Source organism: Homo sapiens, chromosome 3 (genome assembly GCF_000001405.40).
Source record: "Homo sapiens chromosome 3, GRCh38.p14 Primary Assembly".
Lineage (NCBI taxonomy): Eukaryota > Metazoa > Chordata > Mammalia > Primates > Hominidae > Homo > Homo sapiens.
In genome coordinates, this window is record NC_000003.12 from 96,991,533 (window position 1) to 97,013,733 (window position 22,201).

At 36.1% G+C, this 22,201-nt stretch overlaps 1 protein-coding gene across 14 annotated transcripts in view; it reads left to right on the top strand.

Annotated features, from left to right (window-relative positions):
* EPHA6 (EPH receptor A6) overlaps positions 1-22,201 on the top strand; it is a 946,939-nt gene that overhangs the window by 176,939 nt on the left and 747,799 nt on the right. Inside the window, exon 4 of one of the 14 annotated variants that reach the window (NM_001278301.2) lies at positions 18,472-18,602. The exons of 12 other annotated variants lie outside the window; for them this stretch is intronic. In NM_001278301.2, the coding sequence (NP_001265230.1) occupies positions 18,472-18,497 (26 nt within the window). In that variant the 3' untranslated portion in view covers positions 18,498-18,602. Of the gene's footprint in view, positions 1-2,156; positions 2,418-18,471; positions 18,603-22,201 lie in introns of those variants that run through there. One more of the 14 variants, XM_011512706.3, reaches the window with a different exon arrangement.

Here is a 22,201-nt window from a genome sequence, read left to right on the forward strand (position 1 = left end):
ATGAGTATCCGAGGAGATAGCACAAGAGTGAATACCTGAAAGTTTATTTATAGGGGACTGCCACCATGACAATACATTATTTTACAGTCTTCTCTCTGGATTCTCCTGATTAATGTCCCTTCGTCATGCACAAAATCCCACACCCTCCCAAAGGTTTATCACATTAGGACATCATGTTGAAGTCCAATATAGCATGTTGAAATCAGTTCCAGATTCAAATGAAGTTTCGTTGCTAAAATCCCTGTTGATCTGCAGAACTAAGAACCTAAAAATAAGTTATGGTTCCTTACACACACAACACACATGGAACAGGGGCAGGATAATTGGAAAATTTTCTCCCATTCCGAAAGGCAGGGAACACAACAGTCACTGGTCCATTGTGATTGTGAAGTGCAACTGGTGTTTTCAAGGTCCCTGACTGCAGGGGCAGAGAATGTTTTCTGATTAGAGCCCAGTTCTGCTCCCTGTGATTGGTTCCCTGTGTCTTTTGGCTTTCTTACTAGTATCTTGCCGCTGCACTCTTAGTCATTCACTCTGTTTATAAGAATTGCAACTAGCAACATGCTAGTTGCTAGTTTCAACAGCTGTCTGGAAACCTCTTTAATTTGATCAACAACGTTATGAAGTGGTTTTTCTCTCTTCCAAGCTATCACAGGCAGGATTATTGCCAATTGCTCAGTACATAACATGTGTTGACCTTTTAGTATCCCCATTAACAATTTCTTTACTGATCTTCCAGCCTCTACTCACAATCTCCATGCTATTCTTCAGCTTCTACCATCTGTTCAATCCCAAAGCAAATATCACAAGTTTTAACTTTTTGTTACGGCAACACCCAGTTATTTGCTTACAGTTTCTACAATCTGGAAATCTGGATGAGGTTCACTGGGTCATTCTTTTCCTGTCTTATCTGAGGTCACTCATGCAACTGCAGTTATTTGGAGGTTTAACAGAGCTGCATGTCTAAGATGGCTTCACTCATGTATAATGCTTCATCTGTTGTGTCTGAGGTAACGTTGTGTACTGTCTAAATCCTGGTAACAATTTTAGTATGTTTTATTTCAGGAAATTATTCTAGTTTTTTTTTTCTTTCTGATATATTGATTCTAAGGGGTTACTCACCTTAGCATTCAAGGAATTGTACATTTTGACCTTGTCCTGTTCTTTTGTAACCTCAGCAAATTCTGTCCACTATTCTGGTTTTTATAATTTTTGAACAATCCATGCGTTTTTGTATCTCTTACCTTTTTTCATATTTTACCTAGCTGCTTTTGTACCCTTTTCTTCTTTTTCTGTGATGAAATTGTATTTATTCTTCAAGACCTAACACCAATGTCATGCCTCTGGGTCTTCACAAAGTTATTATCACTCTCCTCTGTGCTACAATTTGTGCTAATTATTTGTGTATCTGTTTCACTAGGGCTGTCAGATAAAAGAGGTGTACTTAAAAAATCACATGATGTGAATGATCACAAAGCACTGAGTAGTTAAAAGTGCAGCCTGTTGGTGCTCCTGTGGAATGCTCTGTTTCTTCTCATTTCTGTGAAATAAGTAAATTTTCTTGAGGGAGAGTTGTAGTATTTTAGATCTGGAAGGCCTTAGAAAATATTTTTATCCATCATTTTATGAATCAGGACACTAAATTACTGAGAACAGAATTTAATTTCCTGGGGCCACACAGTCGTAACTAATGTTAGATTGAGAACAAAGCCCAAATATGTCTTAATCTGGCCTTTATATGTTTCCCTTCCACCTATCCCCCATTCTTTTTTTTTTTTTTAATGAGACAGAGTCTCTCTCTGTCACCAGGCTAGAGTACAGTGGCGCGATCTTGCCGCACTGCAACTTCCGCCTCCTGGGTTCAAGCGATTCTCAAGCCTCAGCCTCCTGAGTAACTGAGATTTGTTGGACAGGATAGTCTCAATCTCCTGACCTCCTGATCTGCCTGCCTCGGCCTCCCAAACTGCTGGGATTACAGGCATGAGCCACTGCTCCTGGCCCCCACTATTCTTTCTCACTCTTTCATTTCCTCATTCCAGACATCTATGCCCTCACTTTGAAATGCTTCAATGTTTGCTGCCTGCCAGACCCAAAGCACAGGAGCCCTAAGTTTCTCATTATTAATTAGGCCTGCTCTGCCTTCTATTTCTCTTCAGGAGTCTAATGTGGACACTGCTGGAGCAAGATTTAAGCATCACTTTTGAAATTCATGCTGCTGAGGATGATGAAAATATATATAGATATGGATTCATCTGGAACTTTGCTTTTAGAGATGATAAACAGGAAAAATTACAGTGAGGCTTTAGGGATTTTTGTAATTTGCTTGAATGAATTTGAGACCTCTTGGTCAGCTATGCAACTAAGACACAATAAGCTGATTTAAAATAGAATAAATCTGTATCTAGTCATACTCCATATCTACTGAATGATGTATATTTAAATTGATGTATATTTAAATTGCATTTAAATAACTTGTTATGATATTTTATCCAAAAAGTCGTACTACTGAATGTTTGAATTTGTGATTCCTTTTTGCATAATATTGTTAAGGCTTACCTGTATCCAAATTCTAGAAGCACAAAAGAGGGCAGTAGACTTTTACTCTTGCTGTATGAACCAGGCTTAAATAGATAGAAAGATTATATTAAGCATGTTTGCTAAAATTTAAAAGCAAACACGAATAATTTGGGTTGCTTTATTATACATAGTAAGCAGTATTTTAGTCCTCTTTCAAATCTCAGCTGATATTTCATAACTTTTAATTTTATTTCATAGATTCATAATTAAGACTGTCATATTGGACATGTTGATGTTACAGATTTAACATTGTTTTAATTTATTCTACTTAATGTCAGACTTTTCTAAGGTTTTGAATTTAAAAATAACATTGATTTGCAAAGTATTATGCTAATTTACATCAAATGGTCTTTCAGTTTATATGTCTAGGACTATTTTAGCACTATGGAAGAAATAATTGGAAACAACATGCAAAATTGAATGCAATTTTTGTTTAGTTATACGAGTTCTGAAGTAGCATGAATCCCTAATAAGCTCCTCTTAAACATTAATTTAGGATGAATCTCATTAAGGTAGTGGTACTTGTACTTAGAGATATTAGTTTGTGTTTAAAATTTTAGACCTGCTGAGAATGTGTGTGTGTATGTGTGTGTGTGTGTGTATATATATATATATATATATATAGAGAGAGAGAGAGAGAGAGAGAGAGAGAGCTATATATATACCTACAGGCTGAGAATATGTGTGTGTATATATATATATAGAGAGAGAGAGAGAGAGCTATATATACCTACAGGCTTAAAGAAGGTATTATTGCTATATATATATATGTATCACTCAGTATAACTTAACTAAATACTATTTGTCTATGAAAATTAAAATTGTGAAACACTAGGCATAATTAAAAACCTTTCTTCTGCCTAGAAATATGCTTTAAAACTTTTTTTCTAGTAGTGCATTAAAATTCAGAAGGAAAGGATGCTGGCAATTCTCGGACCATTGCATTATTGTTCACGAAGGTAAATGGGATATACAGGGCCTTTAGTGACATTGTATTGATTTGATCTCTTGAAGAGTGTTGTTATTAAGGCTTCATGGCGCAATCCTCTGCTGCAGTTCAGAAACATTTATGCTGTGTGTTTATGATCTTCTGTCTAATCATGTTATCAGAGATGACTGTGCAAGCAGAGAGCATAAAGAAATATGAGATACCAGGATTTGCTGGCATTAAATAAGGGAGTTTGAGGATATGATGAAAAGCTGAAAGGTAAGATTGGGATCAGAAAAAAAGGGCAGATTTATTGGCTCAGGTAGTATTTTCACTTTCTAAAGGTTCTCACACACTGAATATAAACTCTTATATTATAACCTTCAATTCCAAACAAAGCAGCTTTTTCATGAAGCAATTCCAGACTTTCATCTATCTTGAAAAGAATGTGAAATCAAGAATCCTGAGAAGTCTAAAAATAGAAGGTATTATTTCCAAGCAAGAAAGGATAAAGTTGAATAATTACAGGCATACCTCGGACACATTTCAGGTTCAGTTCCAGACCACAGCAATAAAGCAAATATCGCAGTAATGCAAGTCACATGAATATTTTGATTTCCCAGTGAATATAAAAGTTATATTTACACTATTATTGTCTATTAGGTTTACAATAGCATTGTATCTAAAAACAATGTACATGCTTAATTTAAAAACACCTTATTGCTAAAAAATTGCTAACAATCATCTGAGCCTTCAGCAAGTCATAATCATTTTGCTGGTGGAGAATCTTGACTCGATATTGATGGTTGCTGACAGATTAGGGTGGCAGTTGCTGAAGGTTTTGGTACCTGTGTCAATTTCTTAAGATAACACAACAATGAAGTTAGCCACTTCAGTTGACTCTTTCATGAAAGATGTCTCTGTAGCATGCTAGGTGTTTAATATCATTTTACCCAGAGTAGAACTTTCAAAATTGGAGTCAGTCCTCTCAAACCCTGCTGCTGCTTTATCAACTAAGTTGAAATAATATTGTAAACATTTTGCTGTCATTTCAGCAATATTCACAGTGTCTTTACTGGAATTAGATTCTGTCTCAAGAAACCACTTTCTTTGCTCATCCATGAAGGGCAACTCCTGATGTTTTCAAGTTTTATCATGACATTGCAGCAATTCATTCATATCTTGTCTCTACTTCTGCTTTTTCTCTTGCTATATCCACAACATCTGCAGTTATTTTCTGCAACGTCATCCTTGAGGGTAGGTGTTAATTTCTTCAAAACTCCTGTGATTGTTGATTTTTTTTACCTCCTCCCATGAATCACAGATGTTCTTAATGGTATCTAGAGTGTTGAGTTCTTGGCAGAGTATTTTCAGTTTACTTTGCCGGATCCATTGGAGGAATCACTATGGCAGCTATAGCCTTAGAAAATATATTTCTTAAGCCATAAGACTTGAAAGTTGACATTTCTCTGTGATTGATGGACTGCAGAATGGATGTTGTGCTAGCAGATATGAAAGCAACATTACTCTTCCTGTGTATCTCCATCAGAGCTTTTAGGTGACCAGGTGCATCATCAGTGATCAGTACTATTTTGAAAGCAATCTTATTTTCTGAGCAGTAGGTCTCAACAGCAGGCTTAAAATTCTCCATAAACCATGCTGTGAACAGATGTACTGTCATCAACCTTTGTTGTTCCATTTATAGAGCATGGGCAGAGTAGATTTATCATAATTCTTACTAGGTTTAGGATTTTCAGAATGTAAATGGGCATTGACTTCCACTTAAACTCACAAGCTGCATTAGGTCCTAACAAGAGATCCAGCCTGTCCTTTGAAGCTTTGATGCCAGGCAATGACTTCTCCTTTCTAGTTACAAAAGGATTGTTACATCTACATTGAAACCCTAAATGTGGCCACCTTCCTCAATGATTTTAGCTAGGTCTTCTGGATAACTTACTGCAGCTTCTACATCATCAGCACCTGCTGCTTTACCTTGCATTATTGTCTTATAGAGATGGCTTTTGTCCTTAAACCTTGTGAACCAACTGCTGTTGGCTTCCAATTTTTATTTTGCAGCTTCCTCCCCTCACTCAGCCTTCATGGAATTTTTAATTCCATGTTAGGGTCTTATTCTGGATTAGGCTGTGGCTTAAGGGAATGTTATGGCTGCTTTGACCTTCTGTCCAGATCACTAAAACTCCTTCTCAACAATAAGGCTGCTTTGCTTTGTTATTCATGTGTTCACTGGAGTAGTACTTTTTATTCCTTGAATAACTTGTTATTTGCAATCACAACTTGGCTAACTCTGGGGCAAGAAGCTTAGTTTTCACCTATCTCAGCTTTCAAGGCCTTCCTCACTAAGTTTAATCATTTGTAGCTTTTGATTTTAAGTAAGAGAAGTGTATCTCTTCTTTTCACTTGACCATTTAGAGGTCATTGTAGGGTTATTGGCTTAATTTCAATATTGCCGTGTCTCAGAGACCCAAGGAGACAGAGAGAGAAGGGAGAATGGCCAGTGAGTGGAGCAGCTGGAACACACCATATTTATTTATTAAGTTTTCTGGCTTATGTGAGTATGGTTTATGGTACACCCCCAAAATAGGGTAGGGACATTGAAAATCACCAATCATACAAAAGTAACATAAAAAATCATTGATAATATCTGTTATGGTGACCTATGATATAGGATCTACATTACATGTAATAAGGATGTAAAAGTTTGAAATATTGCTGGAATTACCAAAATTACCAAAATGTGATATGGAGACATAAAATGAGCACACACTTTTGGAAAAATGGCACCAATAGCCTTGCTTGATGCAAGGTTGCCACAAACCTTCTATGTTTAGAAAATGCAATATCTGCAAATTGCAATAAAGTTCAGTAAAGCAAGACATGCTTGTACATTATAGTTTGTTCTTTGTCATGATTTATAAAATAGGTTAAAGGGCAAACCTACTTGAAATTATAATTTTAGCAAATTATTTTACACATATTTAATACCAAGTTTAGTCCATATTTTATTCTGTTAACTTTAAGACTATATTGAAGTCATATTCCTGTAGGGCTATAGGGCTGTCCTTAATTTAAAAAGTCAAATTTATGTAAATAAATTTACACACATTTCTATGGGAGCATAAATTTATTCACTATCTCTGTACTCTTTCCAGACATGACTTACCATGTTACCCATGTCACCCACTGAAATGGCTCCTTTTCATGTGAATTCTGCCTAGAATTTTAGTTCTACCTTTTAAACAAGTGAAATTAATATGTATATATATGCAATAGTTGGAAACATCAATATATAGTAACAGTTTTTGTACCTTTCATTTTGTCTATCATTATCTCCTTTCTTTTGGGTTCAAAAGTATGTCTTTTGGTAGTTCTTTTGATAAAGTTCTATGAGCAGTTAAGATTTTTATTTAATGGATATTTAAGAATAGCTTTATTTTTTCTCTCCCTCTTCAATGATTGTTTATTTAGATGTAGAATACAAGATGATGATGATTTTTCTTCAACATTCTGAAAATGTTATTTCCCCGTCTATGAGAATCTATTATTGCTAATGATCTGCCGACAATTTAATTGTCATTTCTTGGGAGATTATGTATAGGTTCTGTATTTTTGGTTTTTAGTTATATCTGATGTGTCTGGGTGTGGATTTATTTTTTTCCTGCTTTTCATTCTGTGTTTTTAACCTGAGAAAGAGAGAGACAGAGAAAGAGAGAGAGAGAAAGATTGCTTTCTTTTATTCTGTATTTCTAGAATTTTTATTAAATATGTTTGTTGGAAACTTTCAATTTATCCTGTCTTTGAAATAATTTAAATCTCAGCAATAATTTCCAGGTTTAGAATTTTCACTTTGACTATGCCTAGTTAAGAGTTTACCTCATCTGTTGAGATATCTTTATCTTCACTAGTTTTAGTTGTTAACTTTTTCGTTCTTACTTTTTGTTTCATTTCTGCCTACTTTGTTACATAATTCTCTTCCTCTTTTATGGTTATTTTATTCTGGATATATTTTAAGGTCCCATTCTAATTGATTTGGATCAAATTAATCTGATTATTTAGTGTGTTGCCTACATTTCTAAGCATTTGGGTCTATCATGTACTTTGGAATTGTAGTAGGCTGACTTTCTGGAAATTTCATATTTTCCTGTCTGATTTCTGTTACTGTGTCATCAGTTTTTTTATTTGAAAAGTTTGTGATTATACCAACCCAGTTCCCTAGGCTTTAAATAGAGAAAATTTAAGGGGCCTAATAAATTTCCCAAAGAATTCAAGTTAGTAATCCTGGTTGACAGGTAGTTCTGCTTCATGCAGTAATTCAGGGATCCAGACTTCTTGCCTTTAGTAAAGCAGACATCTCTTAAAGCCTTGTAGTTGTCTGTATCCAGCTCAGAGATTAGAGCAGACTTATGTCCTTCTTAGTCAACTCATATTTGAAGAGTCACATATCATCTCCTATCACATACCAACAATGACTACAGTATATGGCTACACATAACACAAATAGAGGGAGTTGCTATTAAATGTTGTTCTTAGCTCAGTAGTCACTTTCCACAAACAATTCTCTGCCATGGAAGAGGAAGACCAAATTTTTCTAGACATTTGGTCATCTCTGCAACAGTCTGTCACTTCACCAACAAAATATAGATATTGATCCTCATGTGTCTGATAATGCACAGTTTTCTCCATCAGGCTCAAATAATCCCTGAACCCCTAAGATGAATAAGCATAACACAGGCTGTCAGAGCTGATTAGCCACCAGTAACTACATCAGAAATGGTCATGGATGACAGAAGAATCTCACAGATAGTGGAGTTGAAGGTCATTGAGAACAATGACACACACCATTTAATCAGTGTCCATATCTTTTGGAGAGCTTCATATTACCTACCCAAAAAGATTTTCCTATTTCTTTTCCTTCCAGCTCTCAACCCAGCTAATTATTGACTGAACCCATCTGTTCCTGGAAATATTAGTATATTGTTAAATGTGTCAAGTAGCAACCAAGACAAAGAAATCATAGCTGTTGGCCGGCCTTCCAAGTTATTGCATATTAAAAAGTTATACCAAGGCTATTACTGTTGTGTAATATAGATTTTCATCTATCCAAAGCCTCCTGTTACACATCACCTGTCCCCTGATTGCTAAGTTAATGTCACTTATTTTAGAGTTTTGTTATGGGTCTATTCCAATTACCATGTGTGTATGTATAAACACACACACACACACACACACACACACACATATATATAGCCATATATAGCCACTCATATATAGCCATATATATGTATACACACACGTGTGCTTTTTTTATATATTTTATATATATATATGTATATGTTGGAGTTAAAATATTGTTTAAAAGCTGAGGTAACAGACAAAAATTTCAAAGTCCAGAGCCTTACAATGTAGAAGTTAGTTTTTCATTCACGTTACAGTCTAAGGTTTGCTTGTTGTTGAGGGCTTTCCATCATACACAAAATAAGGGAACTGTGCATTTTCTTTCTCTAGCTCTGTTATCACCTGTGGATTTGTTGTTATCTGTATCCAATGAGTAGAGCATATATGTATCCAAGAAAGAGAGCATATATAGTATACAAGTGCCTCTTAAAAAACTTGCCATAGAAATGACATGTATGTAATCAACAAGGTAAAGGTTTTTAGTGTAAGGTTAAATATTGTCATGTCAAGTAATTACGGTAATCAGGATTTTTCTTTTTTGAACAGTAGGCAGGTAGTAAGCTAAGTTATATATATATATATAGTGTATATATCTTAGCAATGTAAATTAAATTTGGGGCCTGATTTTTAGATTTTTAGCTGTGTCTTATCTGGCTACAAAAGGCAAGACATTTCTTTACAGCCTTCCTAAATCTGTGGTTCTCTGAGGATATTTTGATCTGAAAGATTAAAGCCCAAAGCTTCTTACTTTTTTTTTCTGTAAACTCTCCAGCCCAGTCAGAAATTGATATATATATATATGCATGTGTGTTCGTATATATGTGTGTGTGTGTTTCATAAAACCAGATATAAACCGAACTAAGTATGCCAAATTAAAGTTATTTTTATAAATTCAAACCTTATTCTCTTTATATAGAAATAAATAGTATTCAACTATTTTGAAGAAAATGTGATTATTTTCATATAGAAACTAAAAATAGCAACAGGGAACATTTGTGGTAAACCTTCTGCAATAACAGTTCATGCATTATTTGAAGAATAATGTATTTTACATAAATACATTCAAATTGTTTTTAAGATATCTTGTTGTCTCTTGTAAGAAAATCATCCCAGATGTGGACATAAACTCGGATATAACTTATGGTGATATTGGAGGACATTCGTAATATTTTTGAGTCCTTTGAGACAATAGCTTTACAAAAATTTAAGAAATTACTGGTGTTCTCAGTTATTCATGTGGCCTTTTTAGGAAATAATACTTTTTGTACTCAGTTTTTTCCTTCCTTTGGCATGTGATACTATCAATTGAAAATTTGACTTTTATAAATAGTTCTCCATTATGATATTATGAAAACTTCTGGTAAGTTATCGTTTTCAATCTGAAATTACTACAAACTATTTTTTTAGAATGAGTATCAATAAATAAATCAATATTATTACTGGAAATGGTAGTCTCAGTTTTACAGGGAACTGTAGAGTAGTGGTAAATTTAAAGAGATGGAGATGTTCAGTTTCAAGTCACTGTATACAAGGACTATCAGCATGAAAAGAAGCATGCTGTACCAAAAATAGATGGGAACATTGAGACCGTAAAAACAAGCTCTGCTTTTCTGCAGCAATGGACAGAAAAAAGCATGATTTATTCCCATTATTGGACAGTATCAAAAGTGACTGCCATAAAAAGTGATGAAAACCTCTTGAAAGATGGAAACACTGTTCTGTTGGACAGAGATAACTATTGTCTTGGATAGAATTCTTTAACTAGGATTATGGTATATTTGGTCTTTTTTAAAATAAATGACTAATATTCTCATTTCTTGGTTTTATTTCTATTCTTTTTTAAAAGTAAACTACTCTTCAGGATTGGTTATTTTTTACCGCCTCGTAATTAAGGAGCCTATATTCTTTATGTTTACAATTAAATATTTTTAATAAAATTAAATGTAAAAATTGTGTTAATTGAAGATTCTCTATTAATTTAATAATTGCATTATGACCAGGAGGACTTTCCTCTTGAAGCCTAATTTTATGTGGGTGCATTTATATATAGATTGCTATTATGAACTAATTCACTATGGAGATGAAGTATTAATATTATATGTATATAATTTTTTAAATTAGCCTATAAAATAAATAGCATACCTTACTTATGTAAATAATTTTTATTCATGAGGGTTGTTTTTTTTTTTCAGAAATTCTCTTTCATCTATTGAGGTGACCATAAAATTTTTCTATTTATCTATCATGAGATATGTTATAATAATATATTTCCTTAGATGACCAATCTGTGGTTTAATGAAGTTAAGTTATTTGACCTTGATGGATTGTTACCTTAATGTTGAATATTATGTATTTTCTTTAATTTATTAAAAACTGGGATGAGGAGATTCTGTTGAATGCTATGAAGTATAAATATGTTTTGAGTGACATAAAGAATATAATATATATACTATGTTCTTGGATAGGAGTTGTAAAGAAGTCAGACTCAAAATTCTTACTGTTTTTGCTACTTTGAATTCAGCAAAAACGGTGCTCATTTTTGTATAAAATAACAAATGCATTGCAATATAAAGGAATATTTAAAAAGAACAGTAAACTAGAAGAGTATTCCTGGCAGATATTAAAATGTGTTTAAAGGACTATATTTAAAATATATAGTATTAACTTCCAAAGATAAATATTCATCAATGTTACCAAGAAAAGAGTTTAAAAATAGACTAAATTACATGAAGTAGTAAAACAATGGTGAAATTGACTTTATTAATTAATGGGAAGAATAGACAGATTGTTTAATGCCATGGTTGTTATGTTGTAGGGGTTGATATTGGGGAGGAGAAACAATGATCATTTGGACATAGGGTGAGTATTGCAATTTCTTTTCTTTTTTTTCTTTTGAGACAGAGTTTCACTCTTGTCGCCCAGGCTGGAGTGCAATGGTGAAATCTCAGTTCACTGCAACCTCTGCCTCCTGGGTTCAAGAGATTCTGCTGCCTCATCCACCCAAGTAGCTGGGATTACAGGCGCACACCACCATGCCCAGCTAATTTTTGTATTTTTAGTAGAGATGGGGTTTTGCCATATTGGCCAGGCTGGTCTCGAACTCCTGACCTCAGGTGATCCTCCCACCTTGGCCTCCCAAAGTGCTGGGATTATAGGCCAATTTCTTAACTAAGCCCCAGAAGAGTCACTCTCACAATTAAATGTGAGTTGAATGTTGGAAATTAGCAGCCATCGTACCTTAGTGGAGAGATCTATTTGGGGAAAAGAGAATTCCCACAGAGTTTCTTGTTGCTTTAAAATGAAGCCTAAGGCAAAGTTATAATAAAATGAGGCTGACTTGTAGGATACAAATTAGGATTTTCATGAAAATTTATAACTGTAGTGAAGCAATAACTTTTTAAAAATGATTTGCTTTCCTATTTCTTTTTTTCTTTATTTCTTCTTCAAAAAGAAAAGGGGGGATAAATGTGCAGAACACGCAGATTTGTTACATAGGTATATTTGTGCCATGGTGGTTTGCTGCCCCTATTGACCCGTCCTCTAAATTCCTTCCCCTCACCCCCCCACCCCACAACAGGCCCCAGTGTGTGATGTTCCCCTCCCTGTGTCCACGTGTTCTTAATGGATGTTCAACCCCCACTTATGAGTGAGAACATGCAGTGTTTGGTTTTCTGTTCCTGTGTTAGTTTGCTGAGGATGAGGGCTTCCAGCTTCATTGGTGTCCCTGCAAAGGACATGGTCTCATTCCTTTTTATGGCTGCATAGTATTCCATGGTGTATATAGATACCACGTTTCTGTTATCCAGTCTAACATTGATGGGCATTTGGTTTGGTTCCATGTCTTTGCTATTGTAAATAGTGCTGCAATAAACATATGCATGCATGTGTCTTTACAGTAGAATGATTCATATTCCCGTGGTTATATACCCAGTAATGGCATTACTGAGTCAAATGGTATTTCTGGTTCTAGATCCTTGAGGAATCACTATATGTCTTCCATAATGGTTGAACTAATTTACATTCACACCAACGATGTAAAAGCATTCCTATTTCTCCACAGCCTCACCAGCAACTATTGTTTCTTGACTTTTTAATAATCACCATTCTGACTGGCATGATAAGGTGTCTTATTGTGGTTTTGATGTACATTTCTCTGATAATCAATGCTGTTGAGCTTTTTTTCATATTTTTATTGACCACATACATTTCTTCTTTTGAGAAGTGTCTATGTCCTATGCCCACTTTTTGATGGGGTTGTTTGTCTTTTTCTTGTAAATATGTTTAAGTTCCTTTTAAAGTCTGGATATTAGACATTTGTCAGATGAGTAAACTGCCAAAATTTTCTCCCATTCTGTAGGTTTCCCATTCACTCTGATGATAGTTAATTTTGCTGTTCAGAAGCTCTTTAGACTAATTAGATCCCATTTATCAATTATGGCTTTTGTTGCAGTTGCTTTTGGCATTTTTGTCATGAAGTCTTTGCCCATGCCTATGTCCTGAATGGTATTGCCTAGGTTTTCTTATAGGGTTTTTATGGTTTTTGGTTTTACATTTAAGTATTTAATCTATCTTGAGTTAATTTTTGTATAAGCTATAAGGAAAGTGTCCAGTTTTTCCAGCACCATTTAATGAATAGGAGATCCTTTCCCCATTGCTTGTTTTTGTCAGGTTTGTCAAGGATCAGATGGTTGTAGATGTGTGGTGTTATTTCTGAGGTCTCTGTTCTGATCCTTTGGTCTATATGTCTGTTTTGGCATCAGTACCATGCGGTTTTGGTTACTGTAGTCTTGTAGTACAGTTTGATATCAGGTAGTGTGATGCCTCCAGCTTTGTTCTTTTTGCTTAGGATTGTCTTGGCTATGCCAGATCTTCTTTGATTCCATATGAAATTTAAAATAGCTTTTTTTTCTAATTTTGTGAAGAATGTCAATGGTAGTCTGATGGGAATAGCATTGAATCTATAAATTACTTTGAGCAGTATGGCCATTTTCACATTATTGAATCTTCGTATCCATGAGGATGGAATGTTTTCCCATTTGTTTATGTTCTCTCTTATTTCCTTGAGCAGTGGTTTGTAGTTCTCCTTGAAGAGGTCCTTCATATCCCTTGTTAGCTGTATTCCTAGGTATATTATTCTCTTTGTAGCAATTGTGAATGGGAGTTCATTCATGATTTGACTCTCCGCTTGCCTATTGTTGATGTAAAGGAATGCTTGTGAGTTTTGCACATTGATTTTATATTCTGCGACTTTGCTGGAGTTGCTTATCAGTTCAAGAGGTTTTTGGGCTGAAATGATGGAGTTTTCTAAATATAAAATCATGTCGTCTACAAACAGAGACAGCTTGACTTCCTCCCTTCCTATTTGAATACCCTTTGTTTCTTTCCCTTACCTGATTGCCCTGGCCAGAACTTCCAATACTATGTTGAATAGGCGTGGTAAGAGAGGGCATCCTTGTCTTGTGCCAGTTTTCAAAGGGAATGCTTCCAGCTTTTGCCCATTCAATATGATAATGGCTATGAGTTTGTCATAAATAGCTCTTATTATTTTGAGATGTGTGCCATCAATACCTAGTTTATTAAGAGTTTTTAACATGAAGGGATATTGAATTTTACCAAAGGCCTTTTCTGCATCTATTGAGATAATCATGTGATTTTTGTCTTTGGTTCTATTTATGTGATAGATTACATTTATCGATTTGGGTATGTTGAACCAGCCTTGCATCCCAGGGATGAAGCTGATTTGATCATGATGGATGAGTTTGTTGATGTGCTGCTGGATTCGGTTTGCCAGTATTTTATTGAGGATTTTTGCATCAATGTTCATCAGGGATATTGGCCTGAAGTTTTCTCTTTTTGTTGTGTCTCTTCCCAGTTTTGGTATCAGGATGATGTTGGCTTCATAAAATGAGTTACGGAGGAGTTCCTCCTTTTCAATTGTTTGGAATAATTTCAGAAGGAATGGTCCCAGCTCCTCTTTGTATTTCTGGTAGAGTTCAGCTGTGAATCCATCTAGTCCTGGGCTTTTTTTGGTTGGTAGGCTATTAATTACTGCCTCAATTTAAGAGCTTGTTATTAGTCTATTCAGGGATTCAACTTCTTCCTGGTAGGGTGTATGCGTCCAGGAAGTTATCCATTTCTACTAGATTTTCTAGTTTATTTGCATAGAGATGTTTATAGTATTCTCCAATGGTGGTTTGTATTTCTGTGGGGTCAGTGGTGATATCCCCTGTATCATTTTTTATTGTGTCCATTTGATTCTTCTCTGTCTTCTTCTTTGCTAGTCTGGCTAGCAGTCTATTTTTTTTTTAATTTTTTCAAAAAAACAGCTCCTGGATTCGTTGATTTTTTGGAATGTTGTTCTTGTCTCTATCTCTTTCAGTTCTTCTCTGGTCTTAGTTATTTCTTGTCTTCTGTTAGCCTTTGGATTAATTTGCTCTTGCCTCTCTAGCTCTTTTAATTTTGATTTTAGGGTGTTGATTCAAGATCTTTCTAGCTTTCTGATGTGGGCATTTAGTGCTATAAATTTCCCTCTTAACACTGCTTTAGCTGTGTCCCAGAGATTCTGGTATGTCATCTCTTTGTTCTCATTGATTTCAAAGAACTTGATTTCTGCCTTAATTTCATCATTTACCCAGGAGTCATTCAGGAGCAGGTTGTTCAATTTCCATTAAATTGTGTGGTTTTGAGTGGGTTTCTTAATCCTGAGTTCTAATTTGATTGCACTGTGTTTGGAGAGACTGTTTGTTATTATTTCAGTTCTTTTGCTTTTGCTGAGGAGTGTTTTACTTCCAATTATGTGGTCGATTTTAGAATAAGTGCCATGTGGCACTGAGAAGAATATATATTCTGTTGTTTTGGGGTGGAGAGTTCTGTAGACGTCTATTAGGTCCACTTGATCCAGAGCTGAGTTCAAGTCCTAAATATCCTTGTTAATTTTCTGTCTTGTTCATCTGTCTAGTACTGAGAGTGGGGTATTAAAGTTTTCCACTGTTATTGCATGGGAGTCTAGGTGTCTTTGTAGGTGTCTAAGAACTTGTCTTATGAATCTGTGCCCTCCTGTATTGGTTGCATATATATTCAGAATAGTTAGCTCTTCTTGTTGAATTATTGCCTTTACCATTATGTGATGCCCTTCCTTGTCTTTTTTGATCTCTGTTGGTTTAAAGTCTGTTTTATCAGAGATTAGGATTGCGGTCCCTGCTTTTTTTTTTTCTTTCCATTTGCTTGGTAAATTTTCCTCCATCCCTTTATTTTGAGCCTGTGTGTGTCTTTGCACACAAGATGGGTCTCCTGAATACAGAACACCGATGGGTCTTGACTCCTTATCCAAATCACCAGTCTGTATCTTTTAATTGGGGCATTTAGCCCATTTACATTTAAGGTTAGTATTATGTGTGAATTTGATCCTGTCATCATGATGCTATTTGGTTATTTTGCATACTAGTTGATGTAGTTTCTTCACAGTGTCTTTGGTCTTTATATTTTGGTATGTTTTTGCAGTGGCAGGTACCAGTTTTTCCTTTCCATATTTAGTGCTTCTTTCAGGAGCTCTTGCAGGGCAGACCTGGTGGTAATGAAATCCCTGAGCATTTGTTTGTCTGTAAAGGATTTTATTTCTCCTTTGCTTAAGAAACTTAGTTTGGCTGGATATTAAATTCCTCGTTGAAAATTCTTTTCTTTAAGAATGTTGAATATTGGCCTCCCACTCTCTTCTTGCTTGTAGGGTTTCTGCTGAGAAGTCTGCTGTTAGTCTGATGGGCTTCCCTTTGTAGGTAACCTGGCCTTTCTCCCTGGCTGCCCTTAACAGTTTTTTCTTCATTTCGACCTTGGAGAATCTGATGATTATGTGTCTTGCAGATTATGTTCTTGTGGAGTATCTTAATGGTGTTCTCTATACTTTCTGAATTTGCATGTTGGTCTGTCTTGCTAGGTTGAGGAAGTCCTCCTGGATAATATCCTGAAGTGTGTTTTCCAGCTCATTTCCATTCTCCCTGTCTCCTTCTGGTACTCCAATCAATCATAGGTTCGGTCTTTTTATGAAGTCACATGTTTTTTGGAGGCTTTGTTCATTATTTTTCATTCTTTTTTCTCTATTCTTGTCTGCATGTCTTATTTCAGTAAGGTGGTCTTCAAACTCTGATAACCTTTCTTCCGCTGGGTCGATTTGGCTGTTGATACTTGTGTATGCTTCATGAAGTTCTTGTGCTGTGTTTTTCAGCCCCATCAGGTTGTTTTATGTTCAAGCTATATAAACTGGTTATTGTAGTTAGCAGTTCCTCTAACCTTTTATCAAGGTTCTTCACTTTTTGAGTTGGGTTAGAACATGCTCTTTTAGCTCATCATAGTTTTTTATTACCCATCTCCTAAAGCCCTACTTCTGTCAATTTATCCATCTTATCCTCCATCTAGTTCTGTGCCCTTGATGGAGAGATGCTGTAATCATTTGGTTGAGAAGAGGCACTCTGGCCTTTTGGGTTTTCAGCATTTTTTCATTGATTCTCATCTATGTGAATTTGTGTAGTTTCGGCCTTTGAGGCTGCTGACCCTTGGATGGGTTTTTTATGGGGGCCCTTTTGTTGTTGTTGTTGATGATGATGATGCTGTTGTTGTCCCTTTCTGCTTGTTTGGTTTTCTTTCAATAGTCAGGTCCCTCTTCTGTAGGGCTACTGCAGTTTGTTGGGGGTTTACTTCATGCCTTATTCATCTGATTCGCCCCCCTGCCTGGAGATACCATTCATGGAGGCTGGAGAGCAGCAAAGATGGGTGCCTTCTCCTTCTTTTGGCACCTCTGACCTTGAAGGTCACCAACCTGATATCAGTAGGATCACTCCTGTATAGGGTGTCTGACAACCCAGTTGAGTGTCACGGGGAGCAGGACTCATTTAGTGAAGCACTTTGTCCCTTGGTGGAGAAGGTGTGTTTTGCTGGAGGGAAACCCACTAGTCTGGGCTGCCTGGATTCCTCAGAACTACCAAGAGGAAAGGCTAAGTCTGCTGCTCTACAGAGACCGTTGGCCACTCCTTCCCCTAGGGGCTAAGGCCCAGGGAGATCCAAATTCTGTCCCTGATCCTCTGGCTGGAGTTACTGGAGATCCTGCAGGGAAGTCCTGCCCACTGAGGAAGGATGGGTCCGGGTTAGACCTTAAGAGGCATTCTGGCTGCATACTGCCACAGCCAGTATTTTGGGCTGTGGGGACAAGTCTTGGGACCAAACCATCCAGCCTCCCTGGCTCTGGCAGGGGAAAAGAGCAGCCTAGAGCTATAGAAATGGGTGCTGCCCTTCCCCCATCCAGGGAGCTTAGTGTGGTAGGCAGTTGCCAGTCCCACTGCTGGTTGCTTCCTCTCTGCCAAAGAGCTCAAAGGGCTTAGACAGCAGGCAGCTGCGCTGGTGCTGGTTGCCCCTCCCCCAAGGAGTTTCGTTGGCTTAAGCAGATTCCAGCTGAGAGGCTGTAAGAATCTGCACATTCCAGGGTTGGGAAGCTACGCCCCGGTGTCATGGTTTCATGAGTGGGATCTTTCGATCCATGGGTTGCACAGTTCCACAGAAAAAGCAGTTTCCCTGGCTGGGTAGCATGCTCACTCACCACCTCACTTGGCTGGAGGGAACAGACTCCCCTTCCCTTGTGGCTCTCAGGTAGGCCACCACACCACTCTGCTCTTCCTTCTCTCCATGGGTCATGCTAGCCTTCTAGTCAATTTTGATGAGAGAACCTGGTTACCTTGGTTGCCGTTGAAGGATTCACATGCTTATCATTGTTTTTTTTTTTTTGATAGGAGCCTCCAAAGGCCGCTGCTTCTAGTTGGCCATCTTGGCCCCACCCCGAAACAGTAACCTTTGAAGAATAAAAGAAAAAGCAAAAGAGTAGCATTACTAAAATATTAAACGGTTACATTTACAGCCAAAATTTGTTTTGTTTTTATTTTGTTGTGTTTTCATTAAGAAGACATTGTGTTGGTATGAAATATGGGTTCTGGTCAATCAAAGGGAAATTCTAGATTATTTGTAATATCATGTAATAACTTGTAGCAGAAATTGGCAGACCATAGCCTGATTGCCAACCCCAACCCATTTTTATAAATAAAGTGTTTTGGAATACAGCCAAGTTATTCATTTACATATTATCTGTGTCTGCTTTCAAGCTATAGTAGTAGGGTTGAGTAGCTGTGTCAGACACCATATGGCCTACAAAGCTTAAAATATTTACTATCTAGTCATTTATGGGTAATATTTGCATACCTCTGCCCTATAAGCAAATTAATGCATATCTTGGAAATATAAAGTTATCAAACTTGTTATTTTTTAGCCATATATTAGTGGGTAGCATTTTTGTAATTAAACATAGAATAAAACCTCTACTGGAAATATTTCCCTCAAAAGGTAACCATCTTTTTATTCAGTCATTTATCTTATTTAAAAAAATTATTTTTATTTATTTATTTATTTATTTTGAGGCAGTGTCTCACTCTGTTGCCCAGGCTGGAGTGCGGTAGCGATCTCGGCACACTGCAACCTCCACCTCCCGGGTTCAAGTGATTCTTGTGCCTCAGCCTCCAAGTAGCTGGGACTACAGGCACATGCCACCATGCTCAGTTATTTATCAAAGCATCTATGCTAAGGAATATACATTCAAAAGCTTTCAATAGAGGATTTCATATTTATTTGTCTTCGGAAAGAATTTGGTTTTTATTAAAATGCAGAAATATCTGAGAGAGATTGTTAGTAAAAAATGTAGGGATGTGTATGTGGTGCGTGTGTGTGTGTGTATTTTCATAAAGGAGTGTTAGTCAAGTGCTTGCTACTTACTTGTAACCAAACTAAGGTTTGGATGCATGCCACCTGAAAAGACAAACACATAAGAAGTAAGGTTTCATAGAAGGAAAGCAGCTTTATTCAAGTGGTGACACCTTGGGAGATGGCCAGACTCAAGTCTGAAAAATCCATCTTAAATTCTCAGTCTGTATAAGGGGATTTTAAGGGGGAAGGTTGCATGGAAACTGTACAGGAGTGTGCATGGTGCAGGTCTGCTTGTTGTTTTCCACTGCTAGTTTGAGTAACAGACTATCCAGAGGCCTGGTTGGCATCATCTCAGTAGAGGTCAGGTTAGGGATTAACTGCACAACTGTTTCATCTTGAAAGGAAGAAAATTGAAACTGCCATCTCTGCCTCATGCCTGGATTGTTGTAAGATTAGCCTTTGGACATTTCAAGCAAACAGGTAGTTACATATATGTGTATCAAGAAACAAACAAGGGAGGGATTATCTTTAGAGTAAGCTAGCAAACTGGCTATACTGGTTACATTAGGAGACATTTCTCAAGGACTCTTTTTAATACCAGCTAATTCTCTCATTTTGCATTTTGACCAATTGCCATGACAGACACTAAAAATGTATTTGTGATTTGTTTAACTTCTATTTCTTTTTCAACTTTTATTTTAGATTTAAGGGATATGTTTACATGCTGGTTTTGTGGGTATATTGTGTGACACTAAGGTTTCTGATACAAATGATCCCATCACCCAGGTAGTGAGCATAATACTCAATAGTTTTTCAACCCTTATCCCCCACCCGGCTCCTTCCTCTAGTAGTTTTCAGTGTCCATTGTTGCCATCTTTATATACATGAGTACCTAAGATTTAACTCCCACTTATAAGTGAGGACATACTTACTTATAAGTAAGTATGGTTTTCTGTTTGTGCATTAATTTACTTGGGATAATGGCTTGCTGCCTTATCCATGTTGCAGCGAAGAACATTATTTCTTTCTCTTTTTTGTGGCTGCATAGTACTCCATGGTACATATATACCATATTTTCTTTATCTGCTACACAATTGGTGGGCACCTAGGTTGATTCAATGTGTTTGATATTGTAAATAATGCTGTGATGAACTTACAAGTGCATGTCTTTTTGGTAGAGTGATTGATTTAAAAATATATATGTACCCAGTAATGGGATTGTTGGATCAAATGGTAGTTTTGTTTTAAGTTCTTTGAGAAACCTACAAACTGCTTTCCATGGTGGCTGAACTAATTTACATTCCCAAACAGTATATAAGTTTTCCCTTTTCTTTGCAGCCTCACCAGCATCTGTTTTTGCTTTTTTTTTTGAGACAGGGTCTGACTCTGTCACCCAGGCTGGAGTGCATTGGCATGATCACAGCTCACAGTAGCATTGACATCTCCGACTCTGGGCTCAGATGATCCTCCCATCTCAGCCTCCATGGTAGCTGGAACTACAAGTGTGTGCCACCTGCCCAACTAATTATGTATATTCATATATATATGTATGTATATTCATATATATTTTTATATATGAATATATTATAAAACTAGAATATATATACATAAAATTTATATATGTGTGTGTGTGTGTGTGTGTGTATATATATATATATGTATTTTTTTTTTTTTTTAAAGAAACTGGGTTTTGTCTTGTTGCCCAGGCTTGTCTCAAACTCCTGGGCTTAAGCAATCTGCCCCCCTCGGCCTCTCAAGTACTGGGATTACAGGTATGAGCCACCACACTGGACTTACTATTTTTTTGACTTTTTAATAATAGCCCTTCTGACTGATTTCAAATGGTATCTCGTTATTGTTTTTATTTACATTTCTCTCACGATTAGTGATGTGGAACACTTTTCATATGTTTCTTGGCTACTTGTCTTTTGAGAAGTATCTGTTAGTATATTTGCCCACTTTACTGGGCTTGTTTATTTATTTATTTACACTTGTTGAATTGTTTTAGTTCTTTACAGATTCTGAATATTAGACCTTTTTCAGATGCATAGTTTGCAAATATACTCTCCCATTCTGTAGGTTGTCTGTTTACCCTGTTGATAATTTCTTTTGCTGTGTAGAAGCTCTTTAACTTAATTAGGCCTCACTTGTCAATTTTTGTTTTTGTTACAATTGCTTTTGAGGACTTAGTCATAAATTCTTTCTCAAGTCCAGTATTCAGAATGGTATTTCTTAGATTTTCTTCTACGATTGTTGTAGTGTGAGGTCTTATATAAATGTGCTTGTTTAAAAAAGTGTGAGTTAATGATTTATATTCTTTGTGTAAAAGTATACACAGCATCAGATTATAAATAAAATTTAAATTATATTTTACTTAGAAATGATAAAAAAAAAGATTTTCTGTGAACCATAGACTAAATTTCCAGTAGGTTCTCATGTTTTTCTCCCTACATCTATATTATATTCTGCTTTTAGCAATCCTAGATATATGTTTATTAAGGTGTGATGGAGGCCTAATATTTACTGTGTACCCACTACGTCCTGAAAAACCATGAATTGCCATTAATTATCACAGTCTGTGTCAAACAATACATAAATCCTTGGAACACAGTACTATTTATAATTGTGCTGTTGCTTATATGAAGGGATGTACACTCACATGGAGGCCATAAATGTATATACACTTTGTATACTTAGCTTATTATGTTATGAAATATGTTTAAAATGGATGTTCTTTGAAATTTTCCCAAAATTGATAATCTTGAATAA